Genomic DNA, 21741 nt, shown 5'->3' with positions numbered 1-21741 from the left:
AATAAGTTGGATTCTTGGATAAGGCAAAGATTTAAACCAGACACAAAAAGAGCTAACCATAGATGCCAAGTTGGTCTTCATTGAAATTATGAACTTGTGTTTATTAAAACACATTGCTAAGAGTGTAAAAAGACAAGCCATGGAGTGTGAGAAGATATCTGTAAAAATTTGCAAACAAGGCATTCATTTATGTTCTTTCTCTGTTACTATAAAGATCAGTAAGAAAAAGGCAGAGAATCCTTTCCCCATCGCTTGTTTTTGTTAGGTTTGTCAAAGGTCAGGTGGTTGTAGATATGTGGCATTATTTCTGAAGCCTCTGTTCTGTTCCATTGGTCTATATATCTTTTTTGGTACCAGTACCATGCTGTTTTGGTTACTGTGGCCTTGTAGTATAGTTTGAAGTCAGGTAGGGTGATGCCTCCAGCTTTGTTCTTTTTGCTTAGAATTGTCTTGGCTATACAAATTCCCTATTTAATAAACGGTGTTGGGAAAACTGGCTAGCCATATGCAGAAAACTAAAACTAGACCCCTTCATTACACCTTATACAAAAATTAACTCAAGGTGGCTTAAAGACTTAAATGTAAGACCTAAAACCATAAAAACCCTAGAAGAAACATAGGCAATACCACTCAGGACATAGGCATGGGCAAAGACTTCATGACTAAAACACCAAAAGCAATGGCAACAAAAACCAAAATAGACAAAAGGGATCTAGTTAAACTAAAGAGCTTCTGCACAGCAAAAGAAACTATCATTAGAATGAACAGGCAGCCTACAGAATGGGAGAAAATTTTTGCAATCTATCCATCTGACAAAGGGCTAATATCCAGAATCTACAAAGAACTTAAACAAATTTACAAGAAAATAAAACAAACCCATCAAAAAGTGGGCAAAGGATATAAACAGACACTTCTTAAAAGAAGACATTTATGCAGCCAACAGACACATGAAAATATGCTCATCATCACTGGTCACTAGAGAAATGCAAATCAAAGCCACAATGGGATACCATCTCATGCCAGTTAGAATGGCAATCATTAAAAAGTCAGGAAGCAACAGATGCTGGAGAGGATGTGGAGAAATAGGAACGCTTTTACAGTGTTAGTGGAAGCGTAAATTAGTTCAACCATTGTGGAAGACAGTGTGGTGATTCCTCAAGGATTTACAACCAGAAATACCATGTGACCCAGCAATCCCATTACTGGGTGTATACCCAAAGGATTATAAATCTTTTCACTATAAAGACACATGCACATGTATGTTTATTGCGGCACTGTTCACAATAGCAAAGACTTGGAACCAACCCAAATGCCCATTGATGATAGATTGGATAAAGAAAATCTGGCACATATACACCATGGAATACTACGCAGCCATAAAAAAGGGTGAGTTCACGTTCTTTGCAGGGACCTGGATGAAGTTGGAAAACATAATTCTTAGCAAACTAACACAGGAACAGAAAACCAAACACTGTATTGTTGTGATTCACTTAGGATGGTGGAGAAATATTAAAAAGAAATATTAAGGAAAGTTATAGGAAATAGTCACAAACCTTTTAGAAAGACAAAAGTTTACATAGCTTGTAATAATTGAACAGGCTGAAGGCAGGCAGTTCTTACCTTAGAGCATTAAGTCATAAGGTAAATACTAAGGACAATAGAGGCTTCCCCAGTGAAGTCTGTTTACCGTACCTTCATTAACTAACCTTTGAGCCAGATAGCCCTCCCAGGAGGAAGTCGACTAAAGATATTGCCCCCAACAGTATTTACTTTAAACAGCAGTACCTGAGCTTTAATAATTCCTAGAACTACTCTCTTAACCACATTAATAATCCACAAGTGTGTTGACTCAGAACTTCTGTTTTTAATTGTATACAAATAAATGCCTAGAGTGCGAGCTGCTCAAGGCCAGCCACAGTAACAAGCCTTTCTTTGTGTGTAGGTGGTCAGACACTCAGCTGGACTGGCAAAACAGAGTACCTGTGTGCCAGTGTACGTTTTATTCACCTGTCATTTAGGTCAAGGTCTGCAGGCAGAACCCCCGCAGCTAATGGCCTCTTGTGAATAGCAATACCTCACCGCATGTTCTCACTCATAAGTGGGAGAGTTGAACAATGAGAACACATGGACACAGGGAGGGGAACATCACACGTCCGGGCCTGTTGGGGGGTGGGGGGCTAGGGGAGGGATAGCATTAGGAGAAATACCTAATGTAGATGATGGGCTGATGGGTGCAGCAAACCACCATGGCACGTGTGTACCTATGTAAAAAACCTGCACGTTCTGCACATGTACCCCAGAACTTAAAGTATAATAATAAAAAATATTTAGAAACAAAACAAAAAAAGAAAAAGGCAGAGAACCCAACAGGAAAGTAGGCAAAAGACATAAACAGGTATTTAATAAAATAGGACTTCTGAAATTCTAGTAAGCATAGGGAAAGGCGATAAACTGTGTTAGTTATCAGGGAAATGCAAACTGTAATGTGATACTACTAGGCACTGACCACATGGCTGCATGGCTGATGAGAACTTAAATCCGTACAAATACCTTGAAAAATTCTTTGGTAGTATCAGTGAATTTGTCGTATCTTATGACCTAGCAATTGCACTCTGAGAGAGATCCTACTCTTCAGAGAAGTAAGTAAATTCATGACACCAAAAACATGTATATGAATATCCACAGTTAGCACTATTTATAATAACCTCAGACTGAAAGCATCTCAAATGCCCATGAATAGCAGGTTGGATAAATGAATTGTGTTATACTCTTACAATGGAATACTAAATAGAAATGAGAATAAATGAACACACACAACAAAATGATTCTCATGTACATAATGTTGTGCTTAAAGAGACAGTCATATAAGAGCACACATGGTGAAATTCCACAGAGTTCAATGCAGGCAAAATTAACCTATGATGATAGAAGTGAGGACAATGGTTAACTTTGCTAGAGAATAAGGACTAGAAGGAGACTCAAGGTCTACCAGGAGGCTGGTAATGGTTTCTTTCCTGACCTGGTGTTAGTTACAATGGGAAGTTCACTTAGTGACAAATTATCAGGCTGTTCACTTAGAAGTTGTGCATGTTTCTGTTGTATGTTGTACTTCACTATAGAATTCAAAAATGGATTGGGTTGCAGAGAATCTTATATGTCAAAGAATATATTTTCTTTTCCCCCTAAGTAACAAACGCATTTCATCTGCTTCACTGTAGAGGAGTTCGGAAAGAAGCTAAATGCAGAAAGCACATTTTATTTAAAAAGGAAAAGGAGATCAAGACCTTTGGCAGTAAGAGTTTCTGTGGAGGCCAGGCGTGGTGGCTCACACCTGTAATCTCAGCACTTTGGGAGGCCGAGGCGGGTGGATCACGAGGTCAGGAGTTGAAGACCAACCTGGCCAAGTTGGTGAAACCCTGTCTCTACTAAAAATACAAAAAAATTAGCCAGGCGTGGTGGTGGGTGCCTATAATCTCAGCTGCTCGGGAGGCTGAGGCAGAGACTTGCTTGAACCCAGGAGGCGGAGGGTACAGTGAGCCAAGATCACGCCACTGCACTCCAGCCTAGGTGACAGAGAGAGACGGAGTCTCAAAAAAAAAAAAAAGTTTCTGTGGAACAGAAGGACAGTGGCCAGTTTGGACATGGGCCCAAGGCAGCTCTGGATTTATGGAAACCACAGATTTTTTTACTCCTCAAAGCCAGCCGAAAGGATCAGGAAAGTTGACTCTGGCAGCCTTAGCCATTTCTCAGCTTAGCATTCGGCAGCTGCCACTCGGCCTCCACCAGCAAGGTTCTGGCCAGATTTGTTCCATTTCCCAAATAGTGGGGCGGCTGTCCTGGCATCCTCCTCTTCACGTCTGGATGGTCTGAGAAACAATGTTCAATTCAGGTTCTGCTGATCTTTCCAGACTAGTAGCTCCGAGTTGAACACAAGTTGTACAGTGTTACCCACGGTTCAAGTGAAAAACCTTCACTCATGAGGGAAATGCAGTGGGAGCTGTTTAAGGCTGTCACTGTTATGACACAGAGGGCATTTCTGTGTTCAGCTGCTTCCTGGTTCTTTGTCTTCTGCTTCATCCCCTTGCTATATTTAAGCTATTTTAAAAATCATTCTGCTAAAATGATGATTTTAATCATGTCACAGTCATTTAGTGGGGACTTTTTGAGCATTTGGGACAACACTGTACTCTTCTGTCCTGTGACAAGGACAGCTCTGCACGGACTACATCACAGTCCCCTGCTGCCACCCCTGATGCAGGAAAGGAAAGCTTGTGAGGACATGGGAAGTGTGTGAAAATTGGTGGCTCACTTACTGTGTGTGACCCCAGTGTGGACCACTGATAGCACCTTTCTTCCCTATACAATAAGATTATTTTCAGTAATAATTTTAAAATGGCATAAATAATAATAACAGAGGCCAGAAAAGAAATACAGACAATAAACACTGTGTTTTATTGAAGCTTCTAAAGATGCCAGGAAAAATAATTCTATTTAGAAAAATATAATAACACCAAAATGTTGCAAATGATCCAATTTTGACTACCATTAAAAATGTCACATTTTATTTTCTTGGATGACTAATAATTAAAAACAAGCACATTTCAAATTTAAAGATATTGCTTAGATTCAGTAAAATGTTTTATGCATAAACTAAAATTTGTAAAATTTATTAATTTTCTAAAACAACAAGTTTGTGTCTAGCACACTGTTTTAAATTTTAGATGTACATAAAAATTCTAAGGGTCATATGGAATGGCAGAATTGAAATAGCTCAAATTCTATTTCTTTGTTGTCATAATTACTGTTCTATCATTTTTCATTTAGAATATATTTTAATGCAGGAAGATGTGGTTCTGTATGGGTTAGAGAAATAAACTGCACCTGAAGTTATATGAAACCTTCCTGTTATAAACATACTCTGTAAAAGAACTTGTGTGGTTGAGTCTGCCTGTCTGGGGGATTGACTGCACAATGGGCATTCTGTAAATTATCTTCCTTGCTGAATATAATGTTTATTAAAAGATAGGTAATAGAAAAGTTCTAGCTTGAAGCATACAAAGAGAGTATTAAAATGCAACAAATCAACAAAAAACCTAAAGCAACCCAATTTAAAAATGAGTAAAAGACTTGCATAGATATTTCTGCAAAGAAGACGTAGAAATGGTCAATAAGCACACGAAAAGATGCCCAACATCAGTAATCATTAGGAAAATGAAAGAAAATCACAAGTAGATACCATGTCACATCTATTAGGATGGCTACCATCAAAAACCAGAAAATAACAAGTGTCGGCAGGATGTGGAGCAATTGGAAGGAACCCTTGTGTACCATTGGTGGGAATCTAAAATTTTGCAGACACTATGGAAAAAGCCAGCGTGACGGTTCCTCAAATGACAAAAAAAAAAAAAAAAAAAGGATTATCGTATGGCCAGCAATTCCACTTTTGGGTATGTACCAAAAAGAATTGAAAGCCATATCTTGGAGAGATAATTACATACCTATCTATGTTCATAACAGCATTATTCATAATAGCCTAAAGGAAGAAGCAACCCAAGTGTTCATCCACAAATGAATGAATAAACAGAATGTAGTATACACATCAATGAAACATTATTCAGCCTTCAAAAGGAAGGAAATTCTGACGCATACTGTACCCTGGGTGAACTTTGAGGACACTGTGGTTAATGAAATAGTCCAGCAACAAAAATATAATTATTGTCTATTTTCATTTACACGAGGTGCCCACAGCAGTCAGAATCAAAGAGACAGAAAGTAGAATGACGGTTGCCAGGGCGTGAGGCAGGGAAGAATGAGGAGTTATGCTTCATGGATACAGAGTTTCAGTTTTGTAAAATGAATGAAAAAAGTTCTGGAGAAGGATGATGGTGATGGTTGCATAAAAATGTGGATGCACTTCATGGCACTGAAATGTATACTTAAAAATGGTTAAGATGGTAAATTTTATGTTATGTGTATTTTACTCCAGTTAAAACAAAACTCAACAGAAAGCATAGCAATGATCTAGAATTTAGACCTAAAAAGATGTTACATAGAAGACTATTTTGTCACTGATATTGTTTAGAAGTATTGGGGCACAGTGATAATGAAGAGCAAACTGGCTCTCAGTTGGTTTTTAAAATTTAAAATTTCATGCAGCCCCAGCCCTTTCTTCAGTACCACCTCTAGGCAGGGCTGGGTGTCTCTCTGCCCAGTAAGGCTTACAACCATCAGGCCTGCAGCCTCTGGGAGGGAGTATAAGAACAGAGCCTCATCAGAAAGAAAATAATTTTGCTATTACCTTGTCATGAACATCGGTCTTGTCCCAAAGGATGCTGTGATCTTTTACTCCATGGAGTCATTTTCCAGCTCCCAGGCCTTCTGCCTTTTCTCACCATCATCTCTGGGTGGTTCTGTCCTTGTCCACTTCCCCTAAGTGGCAGCTGCATTCATTTTGGTGGCTGGAGAGACTTTGGTTCCTTAGAGTTGGTGATGCTTCTTCTGCCCCTTTCTTATGACATAATCTCTGTGGGAGTTCAGGACATGTCACTCCAAAGTATACAACTTTGGCATATTGATTGTTTTGAACAGACTGAAATTAAAAATCAGCCAATGCAGGAAAAGGTTGTTACCTCTTGTATTAGTCCATTCTCATGCTGCCATAAAGAACTGCACAAGAGTGGGTAATTTATAAAGGAAAGAGGTTGAATTGACTCACAGTTCTGCATGGCTGGGGTGGCCTTAGGAAACTTACAATCATGCCGGAAGGGAGAAAACAGATCCTTCTTCACATGATGGCAGGAAGGAGAAGTGCCAAGCAAAGGGAAAATAGCCTCTTATAAAACTATCAGATCTTGTGAGAACTCACTCACTATCATGAGAACAGCAGCATGGGGATAGCCACCTCCATGATTCAATTACCTCCCACTGAGTCCCTCCCACAACACATTGGGATTATGGGAACTACAATTCAAGATGAGATTTGGATGGGGACACAAAGCCAAACCATATCATTCTGATCCTTACCCCTCTCAAATCCCATGTCCTCACATTTCAAAACACAATCATGCCTTCCCAACAGTCCCCCAAAGTCTGAAGTCATTCCAACATTAACCCAAAAGTTCAAATCCAAAGTCTCACTTGAGACAAGGCAAGTCCCTTCAAACTATGAGCCTGTAAAATCAAAAGCAACTTAATTACTTCTTAGATACAATGTATGTACAGGCATTGGGTAAATACACCCATTCCAAATGGGAGAAATTGGCCAAAACAAAGTGACTACAGGCCCCATGCACATCTGAAATCCAATAGGGCAGTCATTAAACCTTAAAGTTTCAAATGATCTACTTTGATTCCATGTCTCACATCCATGTCACACTGATGCAAGAGATAGGCTCCCACAACCTTGAGCAGCTCCTCCTTATGACTTTTCAGGGTATAGCTCCCCTGTAGACTGTTTTCACAGCTGGCATTGAGAGTCTGTGGCTTTTCCAGGTGCATGGTGCAAGCTGTCAGTGGATCTACCATTCTGGGGTCTGGAGGATGGTGGCCCTCTTTTCACAGCTCCACTAGGCGGAGCCTCAGTGGGGACTCTGTGTGGGGCTCTGACCCCACATTTCCCTTTCACACTGCCCTAGCAGAAGTTCTCCATGAGTGCTCCAACCCTGCAGCAGGCATCTGCCTGGACATCCAGGTGTTTCCATACATCCTCTGAAATCTAGGCAGAGGTTCCCAAAACTCAATTCTTGTCTTCTCTGCACCCGCTTGCCCAACATCATGTGGAAGCCGCGAGGGCTTGAGGCTTGCACCCTCTGAAGCCACGGCCTGAGCTGTACCTTGGCCGCTTTCAGCCATGGCTAGGGCAGCTGGGGTGCAGGGCACTAAGTTCCTACGCTGCACACAGCAGGGGGGCCCTGGGCCCAGCCCACTTTTTTCTCCTAGGTGGAGACATTTTCCCTGTTGTCTCGGTGATTACCATTTGTTTCCTTGTTACTTATGCAAATTTCTGTAGCTGACTTGAATTTCTCCCCAGAAAATGGGGCTTTCTTTTCTACCTCATAGTCAGCCTGCAAATTTTTCAAACTTTTATGTTCTGCTTCCTCTTGAAGGCTTTGCTGTTTAGAAATTTCTTCCACCAGATACCCTAAATCATCTCTCTCAAGTTCAAAGTTCCACAGATCTCTAGGGGAGGGTCAAAATGCCACCAGTCTCTTCGGTAAAGCATAACAAGAGTCACCTTTGCTCCAGTTCCCAACAAGTTCCTTATCTCCATCTGAGACCACCTCAGCCTGGACTTCATTGTCCATATCACTATCAACATTTTGGTCAAAAACATTCAAGAAGTCTCTAGAAAGTTCCAAACTTTCTTACATCTTTCTGTCTTCTGAGCCCTCTGAGTCTCTAGGAAGTTCGAAACTTTCCCACATTTTCCTGTCTTCTTCTGAGCCCTCCAAACTGTTCCAACCTCTGCCTGTTACCCAGTTCCAAAGTGGCTTCCACATTTTCAGGTGTCTTTATAGCAGCAACCTACTTGGTACCAATTTCCTGTATTCTTATGCTGCTATGAAGAACTGCCTGAGACTGGGTAACTTGTAAAAAAAGAGGTTTAAATGACTCACAGTTTCTGCATGGCTGTGGAGGACTCAGAAAACTTACAATCGTGCCAGAAGGGGAAGTAAACATGACTTTCCTCACATGATGGCAGGAAGGAGAAGTGCCAACCCAAGGGGGAAAAGCCCGTTTAAAAACCATCAGATCTCATGAAAACTCACTCACTATCATGAGACCAGCATGTTGGTAACTGCCTTTATGATTCAATTACCTCCCACCAGGTCCCTCCCATGACACATGGGGATTATGGGAACTACAATTCAAGATGAGATATGGATGGGGACACAGCCAAACCATATCACCCCCTGTCAACTGCCTAAAGTATTTAATATAAATTTCCCCTTTTGAAAGGAAATTTACATTTATAAAGAAATTTTCAGAGTAAAGATATTGTACCAGGAAGAGAGCTATTCCAAGACAACTTTCATTACCTGGGAGACTCCTGGCATAAAAGGACAAGGCTCTCTCCCTCTCCTTCCCATACTTTGTCTCTACACCCATCCCCCCAAACAAGCCCCAAACCCATATTCCTTTCTGTAGCTCAGGATAATATGTAAGTCTCAATCATCTGGCTCCTTCCTGAAGTCTCATATTTTTGTTGGACTCTAGCCTGTATGTACGTCATTAATATTTTCCCTAGTTAATCCATCTATGTTGATTTAATTTTTAGTTGAGCCAGAGAACCCAAAAGACTAGAAGGAAGCGCTTTTTATTCCTCACATTGTTTGTATGTTTGTGCTAACAAGGACTGTGTCTCTTCACTCAGGCTTAACAAGGCATCCACCTATACAGAGAAGTAGGGAGCAGCATGGAGAAGGAGCAAAAATTAGGGAACTAGGAGGAAAAGAAAGTTGTGCCATAACTGGATTTTAGGCTTTCATCCATGGTTAGGACAGGTGGGAAGACGTCCAAGTCCTTGCACTAAAAAGTAGGTCAGCATGAAAGTCCTGGCAGGCCAGGCTTGCAGAGACCTGCAGGAGGCAGAAAGAGCTGTTCTGCCTTCCATACGCAGCAGGGGGCTGAGTGTTCTGCCAGATTTCTGCGTCCTCTTTGGACAGGACCAAAAAGGAGTACAGCCAGCAATTGTGTATCATCTGGGCTTTGTAGTGAAACTACAAGTGGAGGAGATAACTATTTCCCCAGGGCGAGCTGTCCAAACATGGTACCTCCATAACCTGCCTGCCTGCTCTTCCAAAGAGCATGAAACCTAAAGCTCCAACAGGACTACCCTGACAGTCTTTGTACTACTGAACTTTGCCCCCTTGAGCTTCTCTGCATTTCTGATTTTGTCTTGATTCCATTCTTTTTTTGCTAATGACCGGAATATATTCTCTCTCATGTCCATCCATGCCTTGCATTTGGACCTTGGCTTCTACTATGACAATGATATTGATTTGTCATTCTCACCTTGCCACAGGCCTCTCCAGGTACACTCCATGCACTTTGGCCCAGGCTGGAATGTCTCTACTCACACTCATTCTCCAGAGATGCAAGAGGGAAAACTGGACACCTTTCTTCTCTTCTCTGCCCAGAATTAAATCTACATTATTGGAAAAGTCTACACATTAATTCACTACAAAGGGTATTGAATGTGACCTTATACTGATTGCTGGTCCTTCTTTCTTACAGCTCTCTAGATGTGTTGAACTGGTCTCAGGATTTGCCTTGGGTCTCCTCTTTCTCCTTCTCCTTGCTTCTTGCACTTTCTACACTGTTCCTTTTTCTTGTTTCAGTTCTTTTCTTTTTTTTTTCAGACAAGGTCTCACTCTGTCACCCAGGCTGGATGCAGTGGCATGATCATAGCTCACTGCAAGCTCCAACTCCTAGGTTCAAGTGAGCCTCGCACCTCAGCCTCTCCAGTAGCTGGTACTACAGTTGTGCACCATGCCTAGCTGATTAAAAAATTTTTTTTTGAGTAGAGATGGGGTCCCACTATGTTGCCCAGGCTGGTCTCAGACTCCTGGGCTCAAGCAATCATCTCATTTTGGCCTCCCAAAGTGCTGGGATTACAGGCATGAACCACCATGTTCAGCCCCTTCTTCCAGTTTCCACACTCACCTTTATGTCCCTTATTTCTTATTGCAGGCTTTATCTGGTGAGAATGCCATTTTTGCTCAGGGCCCTATTCATTGCAGAGAATTCTTGGTCTTTGATTATACACTTACTTGAAGTAAAGTTTTAAGTACTAGGTTTTTATAATAAATTTCTGTTTAAGGCTCTGCAGAATGCTGGCTGTTCTACCATTTCTGGCTGCAATCTGAATTACCTGGTGTTTGGCATACTGAATGATCTCCAGGTGATCATCTTTCTCTGTGAACTGTAGGGACCTTGCAAAGCCACTTTGGTGGGAAGGGTTACCTGCTACTTGGAGCAGGAGCTGGAAACCACTGTCCTTATGGGCAGGCCCATGACTCTGCCGGAGTCCAGGTGTGGGTTTCTTCCCAATAATAGCAGCTCACAAGCATTGCTGCATGGTCACTTCTAGGCAAATGTGTACTTCCACTCGTAGAACACTTGTGTTCTAAATTATTATATGTGAAACCCTGGTTCTAAGAGATGCTCTGAAAATAAAAATGGTCCTGAGACAAAAGACAGTTTAGGAGACCTGAAAACCAAACTTCCATCAAGATTTGCAATATACATTAACACATTAAAAGCTCTGAGGAAACTTAAGGTAATAAATCTGCTTGAATTTGTTTAGCCTAGTATCTCTCAGACTTAGTTGATCATACATTATCTTTTTTCTTCATGCAACACCTATTAACTTCCTGCAGAAGTTAGGTTATTCAAAACATTCTTTGAGAAATGCTATGTTACTTTATTATTACATTCATTTTACAGACAAATCAACAGATCTCTGCCAAGTGGTACAGCAGAGGTCAGGTCAGGATTCTGTGACCCTCTTCTCACTCCCCTGGGACTAAGACATAAGGCTTGGGGTCTAAGAATGGCAAACTAACAGGAGAAAGAAGATTAAGACACACACACACATACACACACATTATGGTAATTCAAGTAAAAATAATGCCATTGTTTATGACATTTTATGAGTGCCAAAGTGAATGAGACATTTTATTTCTCATTCACTTTTCCTGCCAGCAGCTGCAGGTCAGGTCTTAGGACTTTGTTCTAATTTCTTCTCTGGGATCCAGACAAGTCATTTTTATTACAAAGGGAATATAGCAAAAGGCTGCTGGAAATTCCCTGAGTGATTTGCCTGTCACAACAGACATCACTTCAGGTCATATTTCATTGGTCAAAGCATATCACATGGCCACACCCATTTCTGGTATTGTTTTTGTATTTTGTCTGCTTTGCAACAAGCTGTGGTAACAAGAAACCTTCCAAATCTCACTCATGTTGCACAGTGGTTACCATAAGCTGGCTGCTGTTCACCTTTTCCATACCTCATCTTATTATTGCACTACATGCTGAAGGAGCAGCCATTCCCATGGCCTTCTCATGGCAGACATACCATTCTCATGGAAGTGGGAATAGAATGAGATGGTTGGGAAAAACTCTTGGTGCCTATTGGCCAAAGTACCTGAGTTGGCCAAGCCTAACAACGATAGGGAATGGATGTTCTGCTTCCACAGTGAGGGAGCACTGCTAGTTATATGACAATAGATAGGTGGAGATGCACAATCCTCTTACAAACCAGAGGGAGACAGTAATTAGTTGGGAGTAATTTCACTTAAAAGTAGCAGAATATCCAACTAATAATGCCTTAAACTGGTAGGGGTTTATTTTTCTCATAAAGTATAAAAGAAAGTCTGGAGGCAAATGGTCACTAGTGTTAGTTTGTTAGTTGTAGTTTCTCAACAATGCCAGCAAGACTTATTCTTTTATTCCCACTCTCTTTCTTTCTTTTTGCTTTTTTTCACCCTAAGACAATGTCTCACTTTGCCACCCAGACTGGAGTGCAGTGGAACAATCATAGCTCACTGCAGCCTCAACCTCCAGGTTCAGGTTATCTTCCCCCCTCAACCTCAGGAGTAGCTGGGACTACAGGCAGACACCACCATGCTTGGGTAATTTGTATTTTTTGTAAAGACAGGGGTTTGCTATGTTGCCCAGTCTGGTCTCAAACTCTTGGGCTCAAGTGATCTGCCTGCCTCAGCCTCCCAAAGTGCTGGGATTACACGTGTGAGCCACTGCACCTGCCTCCCTCCCTGCTCCCAGTCTTGATTACACTATCCTCAATGTGTTAGTCATTAATATCTATGCACATTGCCTTTATATCACAAGAAGGCTACACACCTCTAAGAATCACATGCATATTGAGGAGAGGAAGAAAGAAAAGGGATAGTGCAATTTCATTAATTTATTTTATCAAAAATTCAAACACCTTTCTACAAGCCTTCCCATGCCCCACAGTGAAGACATTTACTTTCATCTCATTGTGTGGCACATGGTTCCCCTGCATTGCAAGAGAGGTTAGAAAGGAGGATAAGAAAGATTCTAGTGAAGACAGGCAAAGGAGAATGGAGCCTGAATGTCAGTTGGGTTATCCACCAATATTGTCTTTCACAGAAAATTATTAACTAGAGTAGATGTTTGAATTTGAGCTTCCTTTTTCATTGTTTACAGCTAGGGACAAAAGACAAATTTACAACCTCTGTTGGTTTAATTAGTTAGCTTTTCATTTGTTATGCACATAATTTCTTTAGTAATGCTATTAAATCCCTCAAACAATATAGTTCCATAGAATTTATGTAGGCATATTTTGCTATTAAAATTGCTGTTGCTACATATGTAATTGACATCTTCCCTAAGAGAGAAAAATGATATCCAGTTATGAAATTCCATTGCTTGATAGGCTTTAGGAGAAAAAGAAAACTGTTCTTATCATTTGACTTGCTTGTATTTGTAAATGCTTTGTAATTCTTTCAAAAGGACTCTTTTATGTAACTAAAACAGAAATAATTGTGTTGCCCAAGGTGATACATAGATGTCAGGACTCGTTTCCAATGACAGAAACACATTCTTGTTTCTTGAGAGGGATGTGTTATAAATGTCTCTCCCCTGTTAAAACTGTGAACTGCTAACAGGAGTCTGACTGATTTGTGATAGTAGAATATTTTAGAAAAGTCTAATGAAGAAAATGTATTTCTTTTACAACAACTTGGTCTTGATTTTCTATGAATCCAGAAAGGAGATAAGTATGAATTTTGGAAGGCATAGAAGGTAGGGACACGTTCTCCACCTTCTCCTGGTGCCATCTCCCTGCTCTTGAAATCACAAAACCACTGCCTATTATTGGTCATTAAGACTAGAAGGGACTTGACTGTATTCAGAGGAAGAGCTACTGGATATCTGGGAGGAGGTCAGTCAAGGGGAGTGTACTGGTTTCTTAGGGCTGCTATGACAAGGGACTACAGGCCAGGTAGCTTCAACGACAGGAATTTAGCTCCTCACAGCTCCAGAGGCTGGTAGTTCAAGAGTCAGTGGGTTGGTTTTTTTCACATGGTCTTCCTTCTGTGTATGCCTGTCTGAGCTCCAATCTCTTCTTCTTATAAGGACACTAGTCACATTGGATTAGGGCCCACCCATATAATCTCATTTTACCTTAATGACCTCTTTAAAGGCACTGTCTCCAAATACAGCCATACTCTGAGGTATTGGGGTTAGGACTTGAGCATTTGCATTTTGAAGGGACATATTTCAGTCCATAACAGAGAGGTATATAAGGAGATGTTTATTTCTCCAATCACTAATAGCCTATATCCAAAATGTTACTTACTTCTGTGTCACTACTGCCCAGTGAGTTTCCTTTTTCTGCTGTTGCTTTTGGGTCTGTTCGTACTTCACCTTTGCAGACAAACATGCATCACAGAGAGTGGTAGTGGTGTCTGTTAACCCAAAATCTCCCTCCTTCTCTCTCTCTCTCTCCTTCTCTCTCTCTCTCTCCTTCTCTCTCTTTTACTCTCTTTCTCACATACACACATGCATGTGCACACACTGCTTTTGCTGACTTGTACATCTCTATTCTGACTGTTGGCATCAGGTACTCAAGGCCAGGAGAACCTCCTGTCAGTTTCCTATCAGCTGGATTTAATGGCTGAGTTCTAATTACCCAGTCTGGCCAATGCCAGTTATTTAAATCAAGAGAAGAAGAGTTACACAATTTCACGATAAACTTGCCATTTGCAATTTTGTTGATGTATGTATTTATTTTTATGATTGCATATTCAAAAGTAAGCAAACCACATCTAATTTAATTTTCTTAGTATCAACATTTTTTGAACTTGGATAGAAAATTCCTACTTTGATATTTTACTTCATCAACAAAAAAGGCTAGCTTGAAACCAAATGCATAGAACTTTGTGATTTTTAAGTATAACGAAATCTATATCTACTTCTCTAAGGAATAGGAAATCCAAGTGCTTGAAGCAGCCATTGGACACGTATCGACTCCAGCTCATGACAGTCTTTTCTGTGCTTCACCACCATCACGTTGGTTTGTGTACCTTTACTGGAGTGAAAATTATGTTACCAGAAAACTCTCCAGCAGAAGAAGTTCAAAGTCTGTTTTGTTTGACAGAGGTGCCCTTGAGACTCTCCAGGCTTGGTTTATTTACATAGAGAGATGGAAGAGTCTATAAGGTAGCAATCACAAATCTTAAGGACAGCAGCCGGTTTCACTCTGCCGACATAACTGTTGTCTCCCCCTGAGGAGTGGGATCACCCAGAGAGCTGTGAGACTCACCGGCTGTTCTCAGGCAGAAGCAAAAATCCCCTTTGCATCAGAAAATCCAACTGCTTCCTGATACTGGTTCCAAACTGGCGTTCTGAACTGTTTATTTTTGCACTGCAGCAGCAGGCGTTGTAGCTTTTGAGCCTGGTTGCTGGTCACTTAGCAACATCTCAGGGCAGCAGGATGCAGATGCACGTCAGGTGGACGTGGCAACCTTGAGAGCAACGTGAGCAGAGACAGGTTTTGGCTGTTCTTCAACTGGTCTTTTATTTGTCTGCTTCGATCATCACTACTGCTGTAACCTGAATAGGTCGTTCCATTAAATGTGAGCTTGGCCAGTGCCTGGAAAAAGCTGATGGATTTATGTGAACTTGAAATGATACTTTTACAGTCAAATATATGGGGCTCTGAAGTGCAGGCACATCAAGCTGTGAAGAGCTGTAATGACCCAAAGGTCTTACTAGCCATTGAAGCAAAACTACCAGAGGCAGCCCTTTATTTTACCAATTTCTGATGTACTGCCAGTGTTTTGAGAGACAGGCAAGAGTTGACTATAATTTCACGGCCAGGCTTAAGATGTTTAGAGTGTTATTTAAAGGAATGGGTTCCCAGGCTGGGAAGAGAAGAGCTAGAGTAGATTGTGCGGAGGTTTGCCCACTGTCTAGCTGGAGAACTTGTCATGGGTGAAAGGGAGTGGGGTTATGAATTGACCCTACAAGTAGATGAGCAAACATACCCTTCCCTGAAGGAGCTGGTCGCCTATTAACAACAACAACAACAAAAATAACAACAGAAAGGTAGTCAAGTTTGAGGATTTTAAGTATTGAAACCCACAAATTTCTAACAGGTTTATGTAATAAAGCACAGGTTTATACTTGGGCATTAAAATTAGTTCTATGACAAATAAGGGAAAAACCCCAAACTCATTAGATAAAGTGGCTTTGATTTTTGACTCTAGGAAGCATAAAAATTCATCTGTTGATTTTTTTCCCTGGAAGAAAATATTTCAAAAACTTTTAACAGATCTATTCTGAAAAGGATCAGCATATGGGAAAAAATATTCTTAACCATAATTTTACAAAAAAAAAAAACCCACAAAAGCAAAAACGTTTGGCTGTACATTTGTACCTACTCTCTGTATAGGGAGAGAACATAATATTAAATTAAGTCATAATAAAGGGAGTCTGGGAGAGGTGTGTTAGCATAGAACAAATGTTTTGTTTTCTTATAAGTTTATTTAAATGCAGGGCAAGAACTTAAAAAAATTCTAATAATAACACGATTTCTGAATCTTTGAATGGATTCTGAATTTTAATCACTTCACAATTGTTTTCTAATGATAACAGTGAAAATTTTTCACAGCACATGATTGATTGCAGTGAGAGTGAACAGTTTTGATACTAGTCATGAGGAAAGAAGAGTTGGCATTTGGCTATGAACGTTGGTAGGGTGGACTTGTACTTGCCCAGAAAGCAGCAGGACAGGCATAGCAGGGTCACCATAGATTGAACAAACCGATTGTTCTTTCAAGAAGAGTTTAATAATGTCAAGCTGTCATTCTACTGATTTACCCACCAAAGTGTCGTCTGCATCTTACTACAGGAAAGTATGACATTAGTCATACAAGAGAGTATGGCATTTTAAAAGTAAGCTACATTGATTTATATTCTTTCCTTAAAAAACATCATTAAGACTTTGGTATTCTAGATTTTAAAAATGGCCTCCCAGGATTAGCTAGCTGCCAATTCTAAGTACACCTTTAGAAAGCTCAAGTCTACCAACTAAATCTTTGTAAAGACCTGCCAAATAAAATTGTTTTAGTTTCAGCACAATTGGTGCTAATCGATTTCTTTGGAAAAGAGGTTTCCAAAAAATTTAACTACTCCTAGTTACAATTACCAGAGTAACTAAGTAACTAACTAAACAAATAAATTACCACTACAAGGCAACTAATAATATCTTTACTTGCTGTAACAAGAGAATGTTAAGTCAATTATTTTAGTCATTATACCATTTTCTTTTTTAACCTTAAAAGCTTATTTTATTTTATTATTTTTTTTGAGATGGAGTCTCACCCTTTCTCCAGGCTGGAGTGCAACGGCATGATCCTGGCTCACTTCATCCTCCACCTCCCGGGTTCAAGCGATTCTCCTGCCTCAGCCTCCTGAGTAGCTGGGACTACAGCTACTCATGGTAGCTGTGTGCACCATCATGCCTAGCCAATTTTTGTATTTTTAGTAGAGAAGGGGTTTCACCATGCTTTTAAGCTTACAGATTGTTTAAAATTAGGTTTGTATAACTCACTCAAATTGGACAACTGACTTCTTCACAGAAGGGTGGCTGAAGCCCTGAAACACAGTCACTTTGCAGTGGCTGGGTGTCACTCGAATGGAACTATGAAGTCAGAGAATAAATAAATGGGAAACACCCTGAGGGTCATGCCTGTGTCTGCAGCTTTCCTTCCCCTTCCCTCATCTTCAAGGCTGATTTCTTCTCTCCTGCTTTAAATCTCATCCCTTCTACTTGCTATGAGTTCTTGCTCTATCAGTTACTCATTCTCTTCTTCATTTACACTGCCTTTTCTCTCCTGGCTCTTTCTTCACAGTCTAGAAACACAACAGATTTCTTGTACCACAAAAAAATCCCTTCCTTAATTCTGTGCCTGCTCATGTCTCTCCTTCCTTTCATAGCTAAGCTGCAAGAAAGCACTGTCTGATCAGCCTTTCCTTCCCTACCTCACCCCTGCCATATGTCTCTGGCCAGGCTTTCCCCTCCCTTCTTCCTTGAATCAATTCTGGAAAACATTGCCAGGGACTGACTTCCTAACACCCTAGCCCAAGCACCGCTTTTTTAAACTCTCATTTTACCCAATCTCTTGGGAGCATTTTGTAGATAATTTTCTTAAAACTCTTTTCACTCTTGGTTTCTAAGAAACCAATTATTCCTGCCTCCTTTTTTTCTGATTGCTCTTTCTCCGCCTTCTCTAATGGCTGTTTTCCTTTCAAGAATAATCTGCACTCCCCCTGGTTCCCTCTCTGGCCCTGTTGACTTCTCACCTGCAATATCTCTGTAGTGGATTTTGCTGTGGTCTTTATAGTGATGACTCTATAACCTCCTTAGCTCTAGCAAGGCATATCCATCTGCTTAGCAGATACTTCCAGTTGGATGCTCCCCAGACAGGCAACTTTGTATGTCCAGATTGAGCCATTTTGCCTTGCCTCTCAAGTTGCAACTCTGCCTAGGCTTCCTGCCTTGTTTTGTTGCCAGCCCTTAATGTAGTCTCCTCAGTGAGAAACCCTGTGAGTCCCTTGCCTTCATTTACAACACCTGAAAAGCAAGCAAGTGATTGCAGTAAGACACTGAGAGCTTTGAAGTGGAACTTTGGCAACATAAGCCTTCAGATCATGAAAGCTGATTTCACTTTTTAAGCCCTCATACCTTGGTGAGAGGCTTGCTTGGCTCACATTTGAATGAAGGAAGTGTGATTTGGAAACAGGACCATTTCCTGGAGCTCTCTGTTTCATGAGCACACCAGGTTATGTGTACATGGATTAATGGAAATGGGAGACTTGGCAGTCTGGAAATATGGTCTTGAGCTTAAGGTATCTGATATTTGCCAAGACTTTGGATTGTGTTGAATTGAAAATAAGATTTTTTTTAAAAAAAACATAGGCATAATAAAAATAATCATCCCTGGCCAGGCATTGGTGGCTGACGCCTATAATCCCAGCACTTTGGGAGTCTGAGGCGGGTGGATCACCTGAGGTCAGGAGTTCGAGACCAGCCTGGCCAACATGGCAAAACCCCATCTCTACTGAAAATACAAAAATTGCCTGGGTGTAATGGTGGGCACCTGTAATCTGAGCTTCTCAGGAGGCTGAGGCAGGAAAATCGCTTGAACCTGGGAAGTGGAGGTTGCAGTGAGCCAAGATCATGCCACTGCACTCCAGCCTGGGCGACAGAGCAAGACTCTGTCTCAAAAAAAAAAAAAAAAAAATCATCTCTTGGTTATGCATGATATTTACAAATTACTAAATGTCTCAATCCAGGAAGAAGATAATGAAAAATGGAATATGATGTTAAATGTCCAAAAAAAAAATTGCCTTGAAATACCCTATCTTCAAAATTACTGATATATGATTGAATTTTCCTTGCTAATGGTGTTAAAAACATGGCAATATTTTTAAAAAAGTGTTATTGAGAACAAATAACTGCGATAAAATACAGCATTTAACCACTAGGATCAAATATCATGAGAACATGAACTTGGTCCCTTTTGTCCATGCTAGGCGTAGCTCCTGGAATTATGCACCTGCTGAATAAAAAGGTAGTTGTCAAGGTAAGACTCCAATTATATATTCATATTCAAATGATTAATTTTGTAAATGTGTGTTTGTTATATTCCCTCTGATGTTGCTTATGAAAAGCAGTAAAGAATTTTAAGAAACAGAAACTATAAAGTTATTCTGAATTTGAAGAGGGACTGCAATTCATTTATTTCCATGCCCTGGTTGTATCATCGTCTTTGATGTATAAGTAAAATATCCAAATATTGCATTAATGTAATAGTTTAGATTATATGAACTTAGGACTTAATTTTCATTTAATAAAATGAGAACCATTTAGCATGTATAATTTATTGTCATATTGAAAACACATCTTTTGCTTCCAAACTTGCTGATGATTATTTAAGCTTAGGACTATAAAACTGACAAATATAAAACAGCACGATTATCACTCGGATTGTTCATTAAGATTCAAAGGAAGATAAATAAGAAACAATACCTATTTATTCAAAGCCATCTGGAATAATGTTATATATTCTTTCAGGAATGAGACTTACATAAAAAGGAAGAGTTTTAAAAATGATACAGACTGGGGGAGGTCATTGTATGGATGACTATCAAGAACTATTCAGATCCGCTCAGATTTGGCTGTGATAGAAGGCTGTTAGATTAACTTGACTTACATTTGCCTTTGGAAAGATATGTTTGGAGAGAGCAGCTTTGAACTTGCTTATATCAGCATTTACTAACTGCTGCCACTATTCCTAATAACGCTTTTTATTAATAGCTTGCCAACATCTGCACTAGGGGATAATTAGAGGATCATCAGATTCCTAGTGGAGACAGACATCTGATTTCACTTTAAATATGTTGTTGACTGATTACACGACCATAATTTGGGTCCACTGTAGTCTTTTAAAACAGCACTGTTGTTCTTGTGATAGACTAAATGTTTGTGGGCCTCCCAACTTTACATGTTGAAATCTTAATACCCAATGTGATGATATGAGGACGTAGGGCCTTTAGGAGGTGATTAGGTCATGAAAGTAGAGCCCTCAGGAATGGGATAAATGCCCTTATGAAAGGGACCCCCTAGCACTCTCTTGTCCTCTTTACACCATGTGAACACACAGTGAGAAGCCAGCAATCTTCAACTCAGAGAAAGACCCTTACCAGAACCTGACCATGCTGGTACCCTGATCTCAGACTTCTAGCCTCCAGGACTGTGAGAAATAATATTTTTTAATAAGCCACCCAGTCTATAGTACTTTGTTATAGCAGCCTGAACAGACTAAGAGAATTTGTACACAAGCAAGAGACAAGAACAGAAAACAAAGTGAGGATAAAATCTAAATCAAAGTTTTCTGGAAACTAGGTATTCCTTCAAATTTATTGGTGCTTATTTTTATTTGGAACCATGATGCCATATACAGGTTGAGCATTTTAACCTGAAAATCTGGAATCTGAAATTCAAAATACTTCAAAATCCAAAGCTTTTGAGTGCTGACATGACACTCAAAGGAAATGCTTATTGGGATATTTTGAATTCAGATTTTTGGATTCGAGATGCTCAATCAGTATCTGGATGTTCTTTTCATTCTAAGCTTTCAGTGGAAAGAAACTTTCTATTTAGAAAGTGCTTCTATGAGATAAGGAAGAAATTATGAAATAAAATTATTGGTTTCATAAACTACGTAATTCGTATTTCAAATTTATACCCAACTAGAACAAGGCCAAGTAGGCAACTAATATTCATTAGAATCTAAGGAATAAACACTGGGCTAGATGCTGGGGTTATAAAGATGAATTAGACATGTTCCGTGTCCTCAAGACAGTGTAGGGAGGGGTTAGATAGACAAAAATGCTAGAAGATGCAATACTCAGTGCAGTGTGATGACTTCGGAGTCTCCCTTTGCCTGCCTTCTCTCTCCTCTGTCCTAAGTCTCCTACCGTGTGTGTCCAGAAAATACCATTGTCTATCCTATGATTAATTAAATCCACTCATTCACTCATCATACATTCTTTGAGTGCCTCCTATTTGTCCGACTCTGCTCTGTGTGCAAAGGATACAGCAATGAAGGAAACATGTATCCCATCATCATAGAATTACATTCTCATAGGGGGCTGGTAATACATTGATAGCATATCGGA

General features: G+C 40.2%; 1 long non-coding RNA gene across 1 annotated transcript in view; it reads right to left on the bottom strand.

Annotated features, from left to right (window-relative positions):
• Positions 1-15439, bottom strand: part of LOC105375856 (uncharacterized) — a 103037-nt gene extending 87598 nt beyond the window's left edge. The window contains exons 1-2 of the long non-coding RNA XR_928921.2: positions 15317-15439; positions 6299-6523 (exon numbers count right to left, since the gene is read on the bottom strand). This is a non-coding gene — a long non-coding RNA (uncharacterized LOC105375856). The remainder of the gene's footprint in view (positions 1-6298; positions 6524-15316) is intronic.
• Positions 15440-21741: the final 6302 nt, after the last annotated feature.

The sequence above is a fragment of the Homo sapiens genome, chromosome 8 (assembly GCF_000001405.40).
Source record: "Homo sapiens chromosome 8, GRCh38.p14 Primary Assembly".
Lineage (NCBI taxonomy): Eukaryota > Metazoa > Chordata > Mammalia > Primates > Hominidae > Homo > Homo sapiens.
This window is presented reverse-complemented; position numbering and strand designations above follow the sequence as displayed.